The 16799-nt window shown below is 47.9% G+C and overlaps 1 protein-coding gene across 3 annotated transcripts in view, besides 1 other annotated feature; it reads right to left on the bottom strand.

The window, feature by feature from the left end:
• Window positions 1035-1540: an enhancer, noted in NCBI's record as "H3K4me1 hESC enhancer chr9:91204313-91204818 (GRCh37/hg19 assembly coordinates)". NCBI's record gives its function as "activates a minimal SCP1, AML or CMV promoter by ChIP-STARR-seq in primed H9 embryonic stem cells {active_cell/tissue: H9 hESC(primed)}" and the evidence as "EXISTENCE:reporter gene assay evidence [ECO:0000049][PMID:30033119]".
• Window positions 6428-16799, bottom strand: part of NXNL2 (nucleoredoxin like 2) — a 49333-nt gene continuing 38961 nt past the window's right edge. Inside the window, exon 2 of one of the 3 annotated variants that reach the window (XM_011518276.3) lies at window positions 6428-6939. In XM_011518276.3, the coding sequence (XP_011516578.1) occupies window positions 6804-6939 (136 nt within the window). In that variant the 3' untranslated portion in view covers window positions 6428-6803. Of the gene's footprint in view, window positions 6940-15018; window positions 15852-16799 lie in introns of those variants that run through there. The other 2 variants (XM_005251727.4, NM_145283.3) reach the window with 2 other exon arrangements.

Genomic DNA, 16799 nt, shown 5'->3' with positions numbered 1-16799 from the left:
TTCTGGCTTCTGTGCAGACAAGAGCAAACTCGGTTTACTCCAGCCCACCACACTCCATTTCTTGCCAGAGGGAGCGAGTAGGCAAGCCAATGCAGGAACCAGCTGGCCATTTTGGCGCCAGCAGAGAAAACTCAGTGCAGGCCCTGCGTCAGCATCCAGGTGGGGGCGCCTGCGATCCCAAGGCCCCAGAGGGCATGTTGCAATACTTAGTTCTACTGTCCACAGACAGCAGTGTGTTATCAGCTCAGTGGGCCTTTTGTCTCGCTGCGTGGGGCAGCTGCCCTCCACCAGTGAGGGCAAAGGGCCAGTGTGACAGCCTTTTTGGTACCCACATTTGGTAGGTCTTGAATTCTTGTCCAGTTCCAAGAAGAATGCGGTCACATGAACAAATTGAAGGATGATGAATGTGGAAATTTTATTGAGTGATGAGAGTGGCTCTCAGCAGAGAGTGGAACTGGAAAGGGGATGGAAAGGACAGGTCACTCTCCCCTGAAGTCAAGCAGCCTCTCTGCCTCCCTCCTCTGAAATCAAGTTGCCTCTCTCTGAAGTACAGCTGCTTCTCTCTACCAGCTAAATCTGGGGTCCTTATAAGCACAGGATGGGGGGTGGGGCAGGCCATAAGTAGTTTTGGAAAAGGCAACATTCAAATGGAAAAAACACATTACTCAGAAAAAACTAATAGGGAGAGAGTAGGCAAAGAGGGACGGAAGTTCTCACTTTAAGCCGTGGGTGTCAGGCTTTTTGGCTTGAAAGTGGGGCTTCACCAGGGACCAACTCCTGTCTGTCTAGAGTTTCTCTGCCTCCTGCCTCTATCAAGAGGAAATAGTAAAAATAAGTGAGGTGACAGCCATGCCCTATTCCAAGTGTCAATGTACAGTGGGGCACAGGCAAGGCAGTGGGGCCAGTGGCTCCCTGCTGGGCCTTGTCCTCAGATGGGCACAGTGGGTGGCTCGCAAGAAATTTGAGAGGTCTTCCCCACTGCCTTGCATTGATTCTGGAGCCTGTGTGTGCCAGCCCTCTGATCCCTGCAGGGCCACCCTCCCTGAAAGCATCTAGAACAGGGGTGATGCTGGGGTTGCCCCACACCACGCTCAGCCCTGCCCTCAGCCAGGCTCACCCCAGGGGGACAGGGTATGTGAGAGGCGTGTCTACACACCCCTACACAAGGCCAGGCCAGTGGGGACTTCTGGAGGCATCACAGGTGTGCATGTGGCAAGGGGCACATTTAAAGCTGGTTTCTAGTTCCTGCAGAGAAGAGGAAACTGGAGCCTCTCCCCTGTACCCTGTGTGTGCACAGCCCCATTTTCAACCTTGCTTACCAACCTTGGCACCATCCCTGGGAACGTTCCAGTTTTTAAGCTTCTCTGCTCCTCTGTTTAACTCTGGCCCTCTTGTCACACCAGAGCAAATCCTGGGACACAAAAGTATCCTAGCAGGACATGGGGTCAACAGAAAAGGCTACGGAGTGGTAGAACAAACTAAGATTTGGAGCCCAAGTTCAGTTTCCCTTGAGGTTTCTCCATGGAACCAAGTGAAAATGATACCCCCCACCCCTCCGCTCACACTGTTCCAGCGTGGACACACACACCACAATCTGCCATGAGCAAAGGAGAATTCTGGGCAGCACAAGCTATTGTGGCTAAATCCAGAATTAGGGTCCATTTTCCCCTTGCCCACAGCTGGTTGCCTTCTCTGCTCATGCATAGAGCAGACACTGAGGCCCAGGGCACCCTGCCCCACAGCCCAGCAGGGCAGACAGAGGCAGATCAAATCTCTCTTTCCTTTGTGTGATGTTCTTGGGTATCTTTTCCCACTATTTTCTGTGGGCAGAAAAGGGATGGTATAGAAATGTGTCATCTCCCACCCACAAGACCTCCACAGTCAGGAGAGAGGTAAGGATTGTTCTGCCAGCTCCTATTCACTTTATTCATTATTGAAGACTTTAAAGACGAGGTAATGAGACAACCTGGACCCTGTTGAAGTATATCAATAGTAGAATTTTTAAAAACAGAGCATGGCCCCTCTGCACGAAATCCACAAGTTTCTGTGTGTCTGCGTAGCTGTTGGGAGAGAACAGGCAGGACTGACACCACTCCTGCCGTTCCACCAACCAACCTCCCTGGCAGGGCCTTGCCTTTGGGGAAGCTCAGCCCATGAGTGGTATTAGTTCCTGTCTTCATCCATTTGGGTGGCTATAATGGAATACCATAAACTAGGTGGCTTATAAACAACAAAAAATTATTTCTCACAGTTCTACAGGCTGGGAAGTCCAAGATCAAGGCACCAGAAGACGTGTTGTCTGGCCAGGTGAAGGCTCCTTCCTCAGAGACAGCGCCTTCTCGCTATGTGGTAGAAGAGGTGAGGCAGCTCTCTGGGGTCTCTTTCAGGAAGGCACTAGTCCCATTCACGAGAGCTCCACCCTCATGACCTCATCCCCTCCCACAGGCCCCACCTCTTACTGACATCACACTGGAGAGTCAGTTTCAGCACAGGAATCTCAAGGGACACAAACATTCAGGCCATAACAGTTCCTTTCCCATGATCTTTAGTGCATTGACCACTGAAGATCACCAAACTAATCATCTCCATATGTACCCTACCTCCAACTGTCTCTATCTTCTCTTGCCCCTCCCCGCAACCCCATTTCCTGCCTGCATAGGAGAGACCTGCTCAGCAGCCTGGAATCTATATGGAAACATCTTCACAGACACAACACATCTAGCAAGAGCAAGGGCTGCAGCCATGGAGGACCCTTCAGAGTCCCTCAAGGCTGTGTTTGGCCTGGGACATTCCACAGGCACGATGAGCATGAAGAAGAGGTTCTGAGAGGACCTTGTGTGCCACCCTGACCTCATGCACACCCTGCTGGATGACCACAAAAAAGGAACAGATCCCACCACCTACACCTGGGGAACCCTGAGACCAGCCCTCCCTGCACACCCAGGGACGCTCCAGACCAGGTCCTGACCCACGCACGGGGATATGGGGACCAGAGGCCCACCCACACACTCAGGGACATAGGAACCAGAGCCAACTGTCCTTGTCCTCTTCTACCATGTACCTCAGGAGCTTAAGGCAGTGGCTTATGTGCCTGGAAAAGCAGAAGATTGCAGAAATCGTGTTTTGGAGGGAAATGAACTTGCAGGGGTTTTTTGGTGACAGGAAATGCTGTTCCCTGCCTGGATCTTAAATTTGTTTGCGAAGCATCTTTCTGAAGGTGGTCTGTCTTTCAAGGGTCAGAGCTTTGTTTTCCAAATTCAAAATTATAATTGATTTTCATGCTATCACACAGGCCAAGTTTTATTCTCCTTCCCTCCCTCCCTTCAGCAGTGGGCTGAGACCTGATGCCAGCCTGGTGCCTGGGCTCCATCACTGGGCAGAAAGGACCCAAGAGGGTGTTTGAGAGAGTTAGAATGCAACCAGGAGCACATCCTCATGCCCACCCTTCCTCTGCTGCTCCTTAATTTCCTTGTCTTGGCTCTTGTCTCCACTGCAGCTCTATAGAGGAAACATGTAGGCCTCACCCAAACACACCCTGCAGCCCTGGCCTCAGTGTCACCCTGTGCTGTTGGCACCCAACCCTGGCTTGCTGCCAGCAAAACTGAAGAAGAAAACACGACCTGCAGCAGTCCTTCAGATCTATTGAGAAATAGACGAGTCATTCCAATTTGAAAGGAAAGACAACCACAAGTTGGGGGGTGTGGGGGGTACTATCTCGTAACAAAAAAATTAACAAAAAAAAACCCTGCTGAGAAAATGACAAACACTATTTTTTATAAAGGGAAAGATATTTGGATGTACTGATAGACACAAACCACCTAGGCAAAGACCCTTCAGCCTGTAAAGAATGACCACTGTGAAGCACCGAGCACTGGCTCAGTGTTAAGCAAACAGGTGAATGAGTTGTATAAAGGAGGTGGAACTAGGGGCATCTTTAAATCTTTAACTTTAAAGTTAAGGCCTTCACTTACCACCTCATTATCAGTGAAGATGTTATGTTGCCTGCTATCTTCCTGAAGACACTAATACCTAAAAAACTCCAAGGGAAAATTATTTTCAGCCTGAAATTATACATTCAGCAAAGTATTCATCACATGTAAAGACAGACTAAAGAAATTTTCGTACATATAAAGATTCATAAAATTGACCTTTCTTGGCCCTTCCTTAAATAGCTACTGAAAATAATGTCCAGTAACATTAGGAAAACAAGGAAGCAAAGAAACAGTAGGCCCCACCCAGGAGAGTAAGAAGCAGCTCTAGGGTGAGAAATGCGCCACAGGCCTAGAGGGCAAGCAGCCCAGATGTGACGGGTTTATAGAAGTATGCAGAAGGGAAGACTCTTGGGGAAAGGGAGAAATCTAGTAGAACAAATTATAAAAATTGAACATTTGGGGACAATAACAAAAATATGTGGCTAGAAAATATACAAGTGAAAAATGAGGCAATTAAAAACTCCAGCAGAAACAAAAAGCTCCACAAAACAGGAAATGGACACATTGTATATTCACCTCTTGGGGCCTCAGTGAACAATATGTAAATAGCTATCCTAGTAATAAAAATATTGATTATTGATTCAACTGTATGATAAGATGTGAGAGAAGACAAAAACATGAGGCAAGAAAATCTGTCATTACAGAAAATCATTTCACAATTACTTAATAAAATTGATCAAATCAAGAAGTAATTATATGAGCATACTGACTAAAAGCTATGGAGGTGACTAGCAGAAGAAACTGCTAAGAAGTTTAAAAGTGAGTGACTCTGAGAAGCTGGGCTGGGGGACCTTGGGGAGGGGCAAGGGGACTTATTCTTTTCATTGTGAGATTTTCGGTTCTGTTTGATTCTTTGAATAATAAGTATGTTTTACACTGATAAATATGTATTTATTGATTTTAATAAATAAATATTCCCAATGGATGAACAAACCAACGTCTGGCCTGTGAAAGGGCAGAAAGAAGAAGGGCAGCAATTGGTGGTGAATGTGATGCAGTAAATAACCGAAGCTGGAGGACAGGACCTCCGGAGGCAAGGTGCAGGCAAACCCTTGGAGACAGGTGCAAAATTCAGGTGGAAGGGGAAAGGTGAGAGGGCCTTCCATTCAAGTCCTATCCAGTCGTCACTGCCTGGAGAAATTTATTGTCAAATGTGGTATCAATTCAAATTGAAATGTCTTCACTTTCATCACTCCTTTTTTACTCTCCTAAGCAATACTAGGAAATATTTGCTTTTGATATTCCTGGACACTTGGCAAGGAGTAGAATTTGTTTGTAACACACTGCTGCTGTGTTTATGCACATGGTTGGAACACATTCAGGGAAATTGTACCACAAAAGCCCAAGAAAAGTAATTCCCAGTGGTGAAAATAAACATGGTTTCTGGAGAAAATGCTACATATAATCATCACATGTTTGTCTGGATTCAAGAGAATGTTAAAATCACTTCTCAGGGAAAAGAACTCATCTAGGATAAGTGCACAGAATTGACCATTTTCCAAAACAATGATGGCAGAATTTCAGCTCTGTCTGGTATTATTGGTGTGTGTGGCTCAAAAAGAAACTTAAGAAAATAATTTATCCATGGAAAACTGAGTTGACCTGCTGAGGTGTGTCTTTACTGCTAATGTACATACATGTGAGGAGGGACATAGCCATATAACCTAGACTTCATAAAATGAAGTGAGAATGTGTTTTCTCATTAATTTATCAAGGGTTCTGTGCTTAATGACATGTAAGTGGTGATCTTTATGTCTCACCATTCAGAAACGAGATGTCATGAATTAAGATTTCAAATAGAGCTGAAGCTGTTGCCTCTAACCCTTCACCCTCTTCTTCAGGACCCATTTCTGAACTGACTTAGAAATACAACAGGAGAGGCAAGGCATGGTGGCTCACGCCTGTAATCCCAACACTTTGGGAGGCCAAGTCAGGCAGATCACTTGAGGTCAGGAGTTTGAGGCCAGCCTGGCCAACATGGTAAAACCCCATCTCTACCAAAAAGACAAAAATTAGCTGGGCATGGTGGCGTGTGCCTGTAATCCCAGCTACTCGGGAGGCTGAGGCAGGAGAATTGCTTGAACTCGGAAAGTGGATATTGCAGTGAGCCCAGATTGTGCCACTGCACTCCAGCCTGGGCATCACAGTGAAACTTCATGTAAAAAAAAAAAAAAACGGAAATGCAACAGGAGAAAATACACACCCACACCCCATACCTCATTGTAGCTCAGGAGACTAGCCACAGGTGAACTCCCCTGTCCTTAGAGCCTCTAGGAACTTGGGCTGATAGCTCAGATGGCTCAGACTCAGGAGGATTGATGACTGATCCTCCCTGAGTGGATGGTTTCTTAGCTTCAAACATGTTTTTTCTCTCTGGACATTAAGTGACTGTATTTTTTCGTTCAGGCTGTCATAACAAAATACCACAGGCTGAGTAGTTTAAACAACAGACATTTATTTCTCACTGTTCTGGAGGCTGGAATTCCAAGATTAAGATGCCCGGCAGGATTAGTTTCTAGGCAGAGCTCTCCTCCAGGCTTGCAGACAGCCGCCTTCTCTTTGTGTTCTTGCATGGCTTTTCCTCAGTGAACGCACACACTTCCTGTTCTTATAAGGACACTGGTCCTATCAGATTAAGGCCCCACCCTTATAATCACATTTATAGTTAATTACTTCCTTCCTCCAAACACAGTCAGTGATGAGTTGTAGGACCTCAGGCAAATCACCTCGACAGCCCTTGGCTTCTTCTGAGATGATTTCATGTTTAGAAATACTAAAAACAGACTGGCTGTCAGGCTAAAGAATTGCTTCTTAGTTCCACCAGCTTCTTCCCAGTGATGCTTTCGGATGATTCTGCAGGCAATTGGATTGCTTCCACCAGATGGCTTGGAACAGAAAGTGCAGGCATGGAGAGAAGGTGGCCGCATGTATTAGTTGGCTCCGGCTGCTGAAACAAAATACCATTGACTGAGTGGCTTACAGATAAAAGAAAATTACTTTCTCATAGTTCTAGAGGTAGGGAAGTCCACATCAAGGTGTCAGCTGATTTGGTTCCTGGCAAGGGTTCTCTTCCTGGCTTGCAGACAAGTGCCTTCTCAGTGTGTTCTCACATGGTGGAGAGAAAAGAAGCTCTTTCTCTTCCTCTCCTTATAAGACCACAGTCATATCAGATTAGGGCTACCCTGTGACACATTTAACCCTAATTGCATTCTACAGACCTTGTCTCCAGACACAATCACATTGGGCGTGAGGGCTTCAACATATGAATTTGGTAAATGCAGGACACAATTCAATCCACAGCAATGATAAACCACCACCACCACGACCAAAGTCTAGCTTTCATCCCAAAGCATCAGAGCAGCACAATCTCAGCACCATCCTAAGATTTCATGCCCCCAAAGCGGGGGTGTCTGTGTAGGGTGGAGTCACCCGTGAACAGTCAGACCCCTCAGATGCTGACCAGAGACCAGCGGGGTGATGGAAATCCACTTTAGGGCCAGATTACCATGCAGCGTCAAATACCATTATTCCTGCTCGACCTAAGAAGAGTGAGCTATGGATTGGAGGAATTCAGAGAACATTCCCTCTCACTCTTGGAAGTTGTGCCCTGCTGAAAGAGTGAACCCTGATATTCCAAAGGAACTAAGAAGATAACACTGAGTGGGTCTCCACGAGCATGCCACGCATTAGGGCTTTCATCCACGTTTGCAGTGCAGCGGTAACAAATGCCGCAGAAGCAGAGACTTGAACAGTGCTGCACAGGCTTAGAATCCCAAAACCACCATGGGAATGAGCCCAGTCGGGCCTGCCAGGGGATAAGAGGCCACAGAGAGCAGCATCAAGGTGTCCTAGCTGCCTGGCTGCCCACTGGCCACAGACACATGGAATTGTCCAGTAGAGACCATCAAGCTGGCCCAAACTAGAAGAAATGCCCAACCAACTCCTAGACTAGTAAACCAAAGAAAAGGGGTATCGTTGGGCCAGGCTCAGTGGCTCATACCTGTAATCCCAGCACTTTGGGAGGCCAAGGCGGGAGGATCCCTTGAGGTCAGGAGTTCGAGACCAGCCTGGCCAACATGGCAAAGCCCCATCTCTACTAAAAATACAAAAATTAGCTGGGTGTGGGGCACATATCTGTAATCCCAGCTACTCAGGAGGCTAAGGCACAAGAATTGCTTGAACCCAGGAGGTGGAGGTTGCAGTGAGCCAAGATCGTGCCACTGTGCTCCACCCTGGGTGACAGAGCAAGACTGTCAAAAGAAGAAAGAAAGAAGAAAGAAAGAAAGAGAGAGAGGGAGGGAGGGAGGGGAGGAGGGAGGAAGGAAGGAAGGAAGAAAGGAAGGAAGGAAGGAAGGATTGTTTTAAGCCTCTAAGTTTTGAGATATTTTGCTATGCAGCAAATAGTGCTTAATACTTGCTAATGGTGCAATCTCCCAACTTAGACTGCTTTTCTTTTTTTTCATTTTTTTATTTTTTTGAGATGAAGTCTCTCTCTGTCGCCCAGGCTGGAGTGCAGTGGTGCGATCTCGGCTCACTGCAAGCTCCGCCTCCCGGGTTCACACCATTCTCCTGCCTCAGCCTCCCGAGTAGCTGGGACTACAGGCGCCCGCCACCATGCCCAGCTAATTTTTTGTATTTTTAGCAGAGACAGGGTTTCACCGTGTTAGCCAGGATGGTCTGACCTCGTGATCCGCCCACCTCGGCCTCACAAAGTGCTGGGATTACAGGCGTGAGCCACTGCACCCAGGTCTAGACTGCTTTTCTAATGAAGAACATCCTCCCCTTCCCAAACAAAATTCCATTTCTTTGTACAAATATAGGACTAGAGAGTAGCAAAACCTCCTGCAACTCAAATATTCTTCCAGAAGCCAGGTGAGGAATGACAGAAGTAGTGAATGAGAACCCCGAATGAGCTCTGGGGTGGGGAGTGGTGACAGGAGAGGAAGCCGAAGTCCATAAGGAGATGTGCCAAAACCACTCCTCTCCATGGGCTGCAGCCACCAGAACCGGCCACAAATGTGGTCATCTTGCCCATGGTTAGGCTCACCTTGAAAAACAGAACCTTCTCAACTGTAGAGAAAAGCATAGACATCAGCAAGTACTTATGTGCAGCAAAGTCCATTCCACAATATGTTCTTACTGATCTGGAAACAACACAGTCACAAATAAATGGGTTAAGAAAGTGGTTGCAGCCGGGTGCAGTGGCTCACGCCTGTAATCCCAACACTTTGGGAGGCCGAGGTGGGCGGATCACCTGAGGTCGGGTGTTTGAGACCAGCCTGACGAACATGGAGAAACCCCGTCTCCACTAAAAATACAAAATTAGCCAGGCATGGTGGCACATGCAGGCGCATGCCTGTAATTGCAGCTACTCGGGAGGCTGAGGCGGCTGAGGCGGGAGAATCGCTTGAACCTACGAGGCAGAGGTTGTGGTGAGCTGAGATCACGCCATTGCACTCCTGCAGCCTGGGCAACAAGAGCGAAACTCCATCTCAAAAAAAAAAAAGAAAAAGTGGTTGCTTCATTTAAAATTACTCATGCTCACTATTGCCAAACTCCCCCCAAAAGTGGTAGCATTGCCTTTGTCTTTGGACACACTGGGTGTTGGAGGTCATTGATGAGGAACTCCTTGTGGACCCCCAGCCAGCTTTGTCCTCTTGGTTTCAGTGAAGCTCCAAATAGGCTTCGCCCATTTCTTGCAGTGGGTAGCTGCAGACAGAAGCTCCTTCCAAGGCAGTGGCTGGGACAGCAGCTAAAAGACTTAACTTGGCAGACACTGTGAGTCAGTGCATGAAAAGGCCGGTATGGAGATACAGATTAATTACATAGGGAAAAATAGCAACTGCCCCGAGGAGAAAGCTGCACACAGCACCTTCACCAGGTGAGCCGGGTTAGCATCATCAGTCATGCCACATACTGGCCTTATGTGCCCTCTGATACCACACACTGAGGAGGATACCACGTCACTCTTATGATATTCTTGCAAAAAATAATGCATAAGCTACATTTAATCAGGAGGAACGTGCCACAAAATCATGGCCAGTACTCTTTAAAAAAAGTCTGAAGGTCATTAGAGACAAAGAAAAGTTGTGGAACCATTCCAGACTAAAAGAGACCAAGGACATTTGATGACTTAAATACAGCATGAGATATTGGACTGGGTCCTGGATCAGAGAAAGACATCAGTGGGGCCATGGATGAAATCTGAAGAGCATGGGTGGATTCGTTAACAGTACTGCATCAATGCTAAGTCCCTGGGATTGACTATCTTAACATAATTATGTGAGGTGTAAACACTGGGGAAACTGGGGTAAGGCATACAGAAAATTTTTGTACTGTTTTTGCAACTTTAAGTTCCAACTTATTTCAAAATCAAGTTTAAAAAGTAAAGAATAAAATCTCTTTAAAATTTAACAAGAAGAGAAAAAAAAAGAGAGAAGCTCCCACCACTGTTGGCTGACATCTATGTTCTTTAAATTTAGTGGGAAAGAAATGATCAATTTTGGCCAGGCAAGGTAATCCTAGCACTTTGGAAGACCGAGGCAGGTGGATCACCTGAGGTCAGGAGTTCGACACCAGCCTGGCCAACATGGTGAAATCCCATCTCTACTAAAAATACAAAAAATTAGCCAGGCCTGGTGGCTGGTGCCTGTAATCCCAGCTACTTGGGAGGCTGAGGCAGAAGAATCACTTGAACCCAGGAAGTAGAAGTTGTAGTGAGCTGAGATTTCACCACTGTACTCCAGCCTGGGCAACAAGAGTGAAACTCCATCTCAAAAAAAAAAAAAAAAAGAATTTTTTTTTTTTGAGATGGAGTCTTGCTCTGTCACCCAGGCTAGCGTGCAATGGCGCGATCTTGGCTCACTGCAACCTCTGCCTCCCAGTTCAAGCGATTCTCCTGCCTCAGCCTCCTGAGTAGCTAGGACTACAGGCGTGTGCCACCACACCCGGCTAATTTTTTTGCATTATTATTTTTTTTAGTAGAGATAGGATTTCACCGTGTTAGTCAGGAGGGTCTCGATCTCCTGACCTCGTGATCCACCCTCCTCAGCCTCCAAAATTGCTGGGATTACAGGCGTGAGCCACCGCGCCCTCCCATCATTTTTTAATTCATTTGGCTACCAGCCCTCAGAAGGTTAAGAGATAGCCATATGGTGGACATTTGTTTGGGGCCACCCTGCATAACCCACTCACCCCCTTCTCTCACCCCGGGTTTTCATTGCGGAGTTTATTTTTCCCTTGACTCGCAGTCATAAGACTCTGGGGAAGGAGCTGCTAACTCCAGCCCTAGAAAAGAGGTGTGTGGCCCAAGCCTACCCAGCAGCATATTCAGTCTCCTTGGCCCTGGTGACACTCCACAGAGGGCATGTGACAGCAGGAAGTAGACTTAATTCTGAGCGTTTGGCTTAAGCATCAGGAGGCTGTCACAACCAGCCCCACCTCCACTGGACTTGAATAAGCTCAATGGGGACCAAAGCTACCTCTGTGACCAGCTGCTGCCAGGAGGGAGTCTGTCCCAGCAAGAAGCCAGCCCTGAAGCTGCAGAAATGAGTCCTGCCACAGCACCCAATCCCTAGTCAGGCCACACCTGACTCCACCCCGTGGGTCCTGTAACTAGAAGAGGTCAGGAAGCCCCCCGTCCTTCAGGCATTCCGGATTGCAGGGGCCTCCCGCAACCAAGAGAGCCATGTTTAGCTGAGTTCCATCTCCTGCTGAGAAAGTCAAGATCAGCCAAACCACATGCTGCAGTGTCAGAGTCTCGGGTTATGAAAGGCGGCATCAGTGGGGTAGTGAAGACAGGAGGAAAGGGCAGAGAGGCCACCAGTGTGCCTCTGGGAGGACAAACGTTTTACATTGGCCAGCGTGCCCCCATATTTTGGTGTTCTGACAACCCACCCACTTAATCAGCAAGAAATCGAGACTTTCCTGTGATCCCCATGTCCAGTTCATCCTTTGCAAGTTCCTGGGCGGGGAGCAGAGTGGCTGTCACATAGACAAAGATGTAGGCCGCCCACCAGCGCCTACTTCTCCAACTTCAAGGTCCCCTGCTCCATCCACTGCTCCCCAGATGGCCTGGGCATCCTTGAACGTGGCCAGCCCTTTCCCCGTGAATCAGTTCCCTGTATGGAGTCCAGGTTGCTCAGAAAGGCCTGTGGACAATGTCTGAGCCCCAGTCGAGGCTGAGCTCCACCAGTTCCTGTGCCCTAAGGAAGTCAGGAGATGGGGCTGAGCGCCCAGCCTTCCGGAGGTCGGAGCCTGCTGCCTAGCAGATGACCACGAGGGGGCAGTGTGGAGCAGTTGGTAGGCCGGGCCGGCGGCTCCTGGCTGACCAGCCGGACCGGACTTCCCAACCTGAAATCCAACCGGAGGGAAAAGAAAATACACAGCCAGCGGCAACAGCCAACCCTGAGTGGCGGGGTGGCAGATTATGTTTATTTCCCAAATGTCCTGTAATTGATAAGTAACTGATTACCAAATAAATTTTATTACTAAAATGAAAGAAAGAAGCCAGATCAGTAGATACCTGTTTTTCTGCATTGCTTGTATCCAAATTCACACATTTGTCCAACTGCAAAGATCCTGACCAGGTGTCACGGACCACTCCAGGACCGGCAGGGACTGCTTCAGGCAAGGAAGATTTGTACCCCTGGGAGCCGCTGTGCCCGTCTCCACCTGGGGTCCAGCGCAGCCCACCTGGGGTCCGGGAACCCTCGCCTTGAGGACAGGTGTCTCTTATCCTGCGTCCAGTTATTTTGGTTGTGATGGAACTCCATTTTCTCTTGGAGATTAACAGCGCCTGCACTTTGTATACTTGAGGACATTGCCAGGGGTGCCCTCTACCACCCCACTCTTAACTTGTTTTCATAGCGACATTTCCCAAATTCTCAGTCATTTCACGTGAAGTCTTCCCAATTTCTCCATGGATCCACTTCAACCGTGAAGACACTGGACACAGAGTGCCATGAGGACTGAATATAACGGCAGGGGCCTGCGCCTAGGGGCGGGTCCCACAGCAGGACACTGCTCTTGCTGCCAGACCCACCGCTGGACCCAGGGTTTCTAGGCACTGATGACTCCCAACCACCCAGGATTCTTGTTATGGACAGGATCATGTGCCCGTAGTTCATATGTTGATGCCCTAAATCCCGATATGGCTTATAAATGGCACTTGGAAGGACATATTGGATTAGAGACTCACACTTTTGAAATGAGGTCATAAGTAAGTCCCTGATTCAATATGACGATGCATCCTTAGAAGAAGAGGAACAGATGCACGGTGCTGCGCTCGCTCGCTCTCTTCTCTCTCTCTCTCTCTCTCTCTTTCTCTCTCCACATAAGCACAGAGGAAAGGCCATGTGAGGACACAGTGTCCACAAGCCAGGAAGCAGGCCTTCATCAGAAACCAGATTTGACAGCACCTAGATCTTCAGCCTTCAGAACAGTGAGAGAATGAATGTCTGCCATTTGAGCCCCCAGCCTGTGGTATCATGTGAGGCAGCCTGAGCTGGCACCTGCAGTTCTCTTAGGACCGTAGACATGCTCACCTGGAACAGAGGCCACCGTGTCCATTGTCTGTGCAGGGCTGTTCTCACCCCTGCCCGGGGGTGCATCACAAACACCTGATGGTCTCATGCCGCCCCCCCCGCCCAGTCACAAACACACACACCCCATCCATGAGCAGTAGAAATAAGCATCCAGGAAAGGAATCAGGGAGCTAATTCCTCTTCCTAATGCTAAGAATTGCTCAGAAATACATGCACTTTTAACCCTCACTTGTCTGGGGCTCTGACAGACCTCCCTCTCTGGACGGCAGCTGTGTGTGCTTCAACCTGTTTCAGCACGGTCACCCCACTCCCCTGCTTCCTCTCTGCTCCTCATGGCCAGGACACCTCGCAAGGACCCTCCCTCACCCTCTACCTTGAGGGCAGCCATAAGCAGTAGCCTGGGGCTTGGGAGTTGGGAGCTGGGACCCCCCCTACCTACCACTCTATGGGTGGTGGCTCACCCCAGTTGGGGATAAGGCTGCAGGGAACACAGTGTTGGAGCCCCTTAAGCATGGCCGAGAAGAAGCACTTCATGGAGACACTCAGGCAGCAACATGGCAGGGGCTGTGTCTGGTGCTCAGGCTCTTACGTCCCAGAGAACCCAGAGGAAAGCAGGGCCGACCTCCCTGCTACGGGCTGCCTGTAGTCTACTCCATAGTCCCAGGAAAACAAGCTCTGCCCTTTCCCTTTGAGGGGCTGGTGGAGAAGGGAGCAGTCCCAGCCAAGAAGACACAAGTTGTCCTTCTAGGCTTGTGGGCCCCGAGGAATAGCTGCCCCTCCCGCACCTCCATTGGCCATTCTCCCTCTTCCCCTTCTCCCCTCAGGAGAGCAGACATGTCTCCCTTGTCACCTGCTAGCAAACTGGAAGTCTCTCTCCCTCCTTCAGCAAGCACCCCTGGGAGACTTTATCTTCAGCAGACAAGGTCTTTGCTCACCCTGCACGGGGAGAATTCAAGAGGCCTTGGACATCACGAGGAAACCTGGCCCACGTGGGAGCTGGGGGTCTAGGGCCACCACATAAGTGTGAGTCCCCAACGTGAGAAAGAAGCAGCCACCTGTTGAACCAGGTATAAAAGGAGTCGAGAAACCTTGAGAAGTCTAGGTCCATCGCTGTGGGTTCACATGTCGGGAGAGTCAGGCGCATTGGGTTTTTGTTTGTGGTTTTCAATATTTTGTTTGTTTGTTTGTTTGTTTTGTTTTCTTTTTGAGACGGAGTCTCGCTCCATCGCCCAGGCTGGAGTGCAGTGGCACAATCTCGGCTCACTGTAACCTCTGTCTCCTGGGCTCAAGCAATTCTCCTGCTTCAGCCTCCCAAGTAGCTGGGATTACAGGTGCCCACCACCACACCCAACTAATCTTTTGTATTTTTTAGTAGAGACGGGATTTCACCATGTTGGCCAGGCTGATCTCGAACTCCTGACCTCGTGATTCACCTGCCTCAGTCTCCCAAAGTGCTGGGATTACAGGTATGAGCCACCGTGCCTGGCCTAATTTTTTTATTTTTAATTTTTGTGGGTACATAGTAGGTGTGTATATTTATGGGGTACATGAGATGTTTTGATACAGGCATGCAATGCATAATAATCACATAATGAAGAATCGGAGTATTCATCCCCTCAAGCATTTATCTTTTGTGTTACAAACAATGCAATTATAGTTATTTTTAAATGTACAATTAAATGATTATTGACAGTAGTCACACTGTTGTGCTATCAAATATTAGGTCTTATTTATTCTTTGTATTTTTTTGTACCTATTAACCATTCCCACCTTCCTCCCAACCCCACTTTCCTTTCCAGCTTCTGGTAACCAACCTTCTACTCTCTATGTCCAAGAGTTCAATTGTTTTGATCATTAGATCCCACAAATAAGTGAGAACATGTGATGTTTGTCTTTCTGTGCCTGGCTTATTTCACTTCACATAAGGGCCTCCTTTTCCATCTATATTATTGCAAATGACAGAATCTCATTTTTTTAATGGCTGAAGAGTACTCCATTGTGTATATGTACCACGTTTTCTTTATCCATTCATCTGTTGATGGACACTTAGGTTGCTTCCAAATCTTGGCTGTTGTGAACAGTGCTGCAATAAACATGGGGGTGCAGATACCTCTTCAATATACTGGCTTCCTTTTCCTTTCTTTCGGGTATATACCCAGCAGCAGGATTGCTGAGTCACATGGTCACAGCACATTGTTAATGAGCACAGACTCGCAGAATGCAGGACACGGATGGTGCGGGGGGAGAACAGCTGCACTCTCGGAGTGTCCAACTCCTCTTCAATATCTTTCCCTCACGTAATTCACAGCAATGGCTTCAAAGGAATAAGAAGGGGAGGGTGAGCTTAGTGCCAGATCTTTTAATGACCTCCTCTTAAGCTTAAAAATGCAGTTGCAAAATCAAAGAGTCCTACAAAAAGAAATTATTTAAAGTAAGTTATGCAACGTGTGCCCTTTGGAAAAACAGCAATGTCCTTAGAGTTATGCCCCCAGGATGGTGGGGACAGGCCCTACATCTGCAAACACATGTGCTCAGACCACCTGGCCCCTGCCAGGATCCCCCGCCCCTGGCCGTCTGCAAGTTTCCAGTCTTCGCAAAAATCCATTCGAGTCTGGAAAACATTCCTCTCCCCAACAAGCTGGCTCCTTCCCTCTATTCAGATCAGCTAAAAATCCTCTTCCTAAGGATCCAGCCCCAAATATGCTGTATAAGGAAGTCCCCACCTCAAAATCTCCACTGCCCTATTTCTTACTGAAATTCCTGTGGACAAAGGACAGACAGAGCTCAACATCATCTCTCTGCACACTGACATAAATGCATATCTAATTGCTTCCTTTGGAACAACTAATCAGAAACTCAAAAGAATGCAATCATTTGTCTCTTATCTACCTATGACTTGGAAGCCCCCTCCTTGCTTCGAGTTGTCCCTCCTTTCTGGACCAAACCAATGTACATCTTACATATATTGATTGATGTCTCATGTCTCCCTAAAATGTATAAAACTAAGCTGTGCCCTGACCACCTTGGGCATATGTCATCGGGACCTCCTGAGGCTGTGTCACAGGCATGTCCTTAACCTTGGCAAAATAAACTTCCTAAATTGATCAAGACTTGTATCGGATACTCTTTGGTTTACAGTATGGTACCACATTTGTGTATCCATTCATCAATTGACAGACATATGGGTTGCTTCCAGTGTTTGACAATGGTGAATAATACTGCTATGAACATTTGTGTATATGCCTTTCTGGGGCATATGTTT

The sequence above is a fragment of the Homo sapiens genome, chromosome 9 (genome assembly GCF_000001405.40).
Source record: "Homo sapiens chromosome 9, GRCh38.p14 Primary Assembly".
In the NCBI taxonomy this organism is placed as follows: domain Eukaryota; kingdom Metazoa; phylum Chordata; class Mammalia; order Primates; family Hominidae; genus Homo; species Homo sapiens.
Note: the sequence above shows the minus strand (reverse complement) of the source record. Positions and strands in the feature narration are given on the sequence as shown.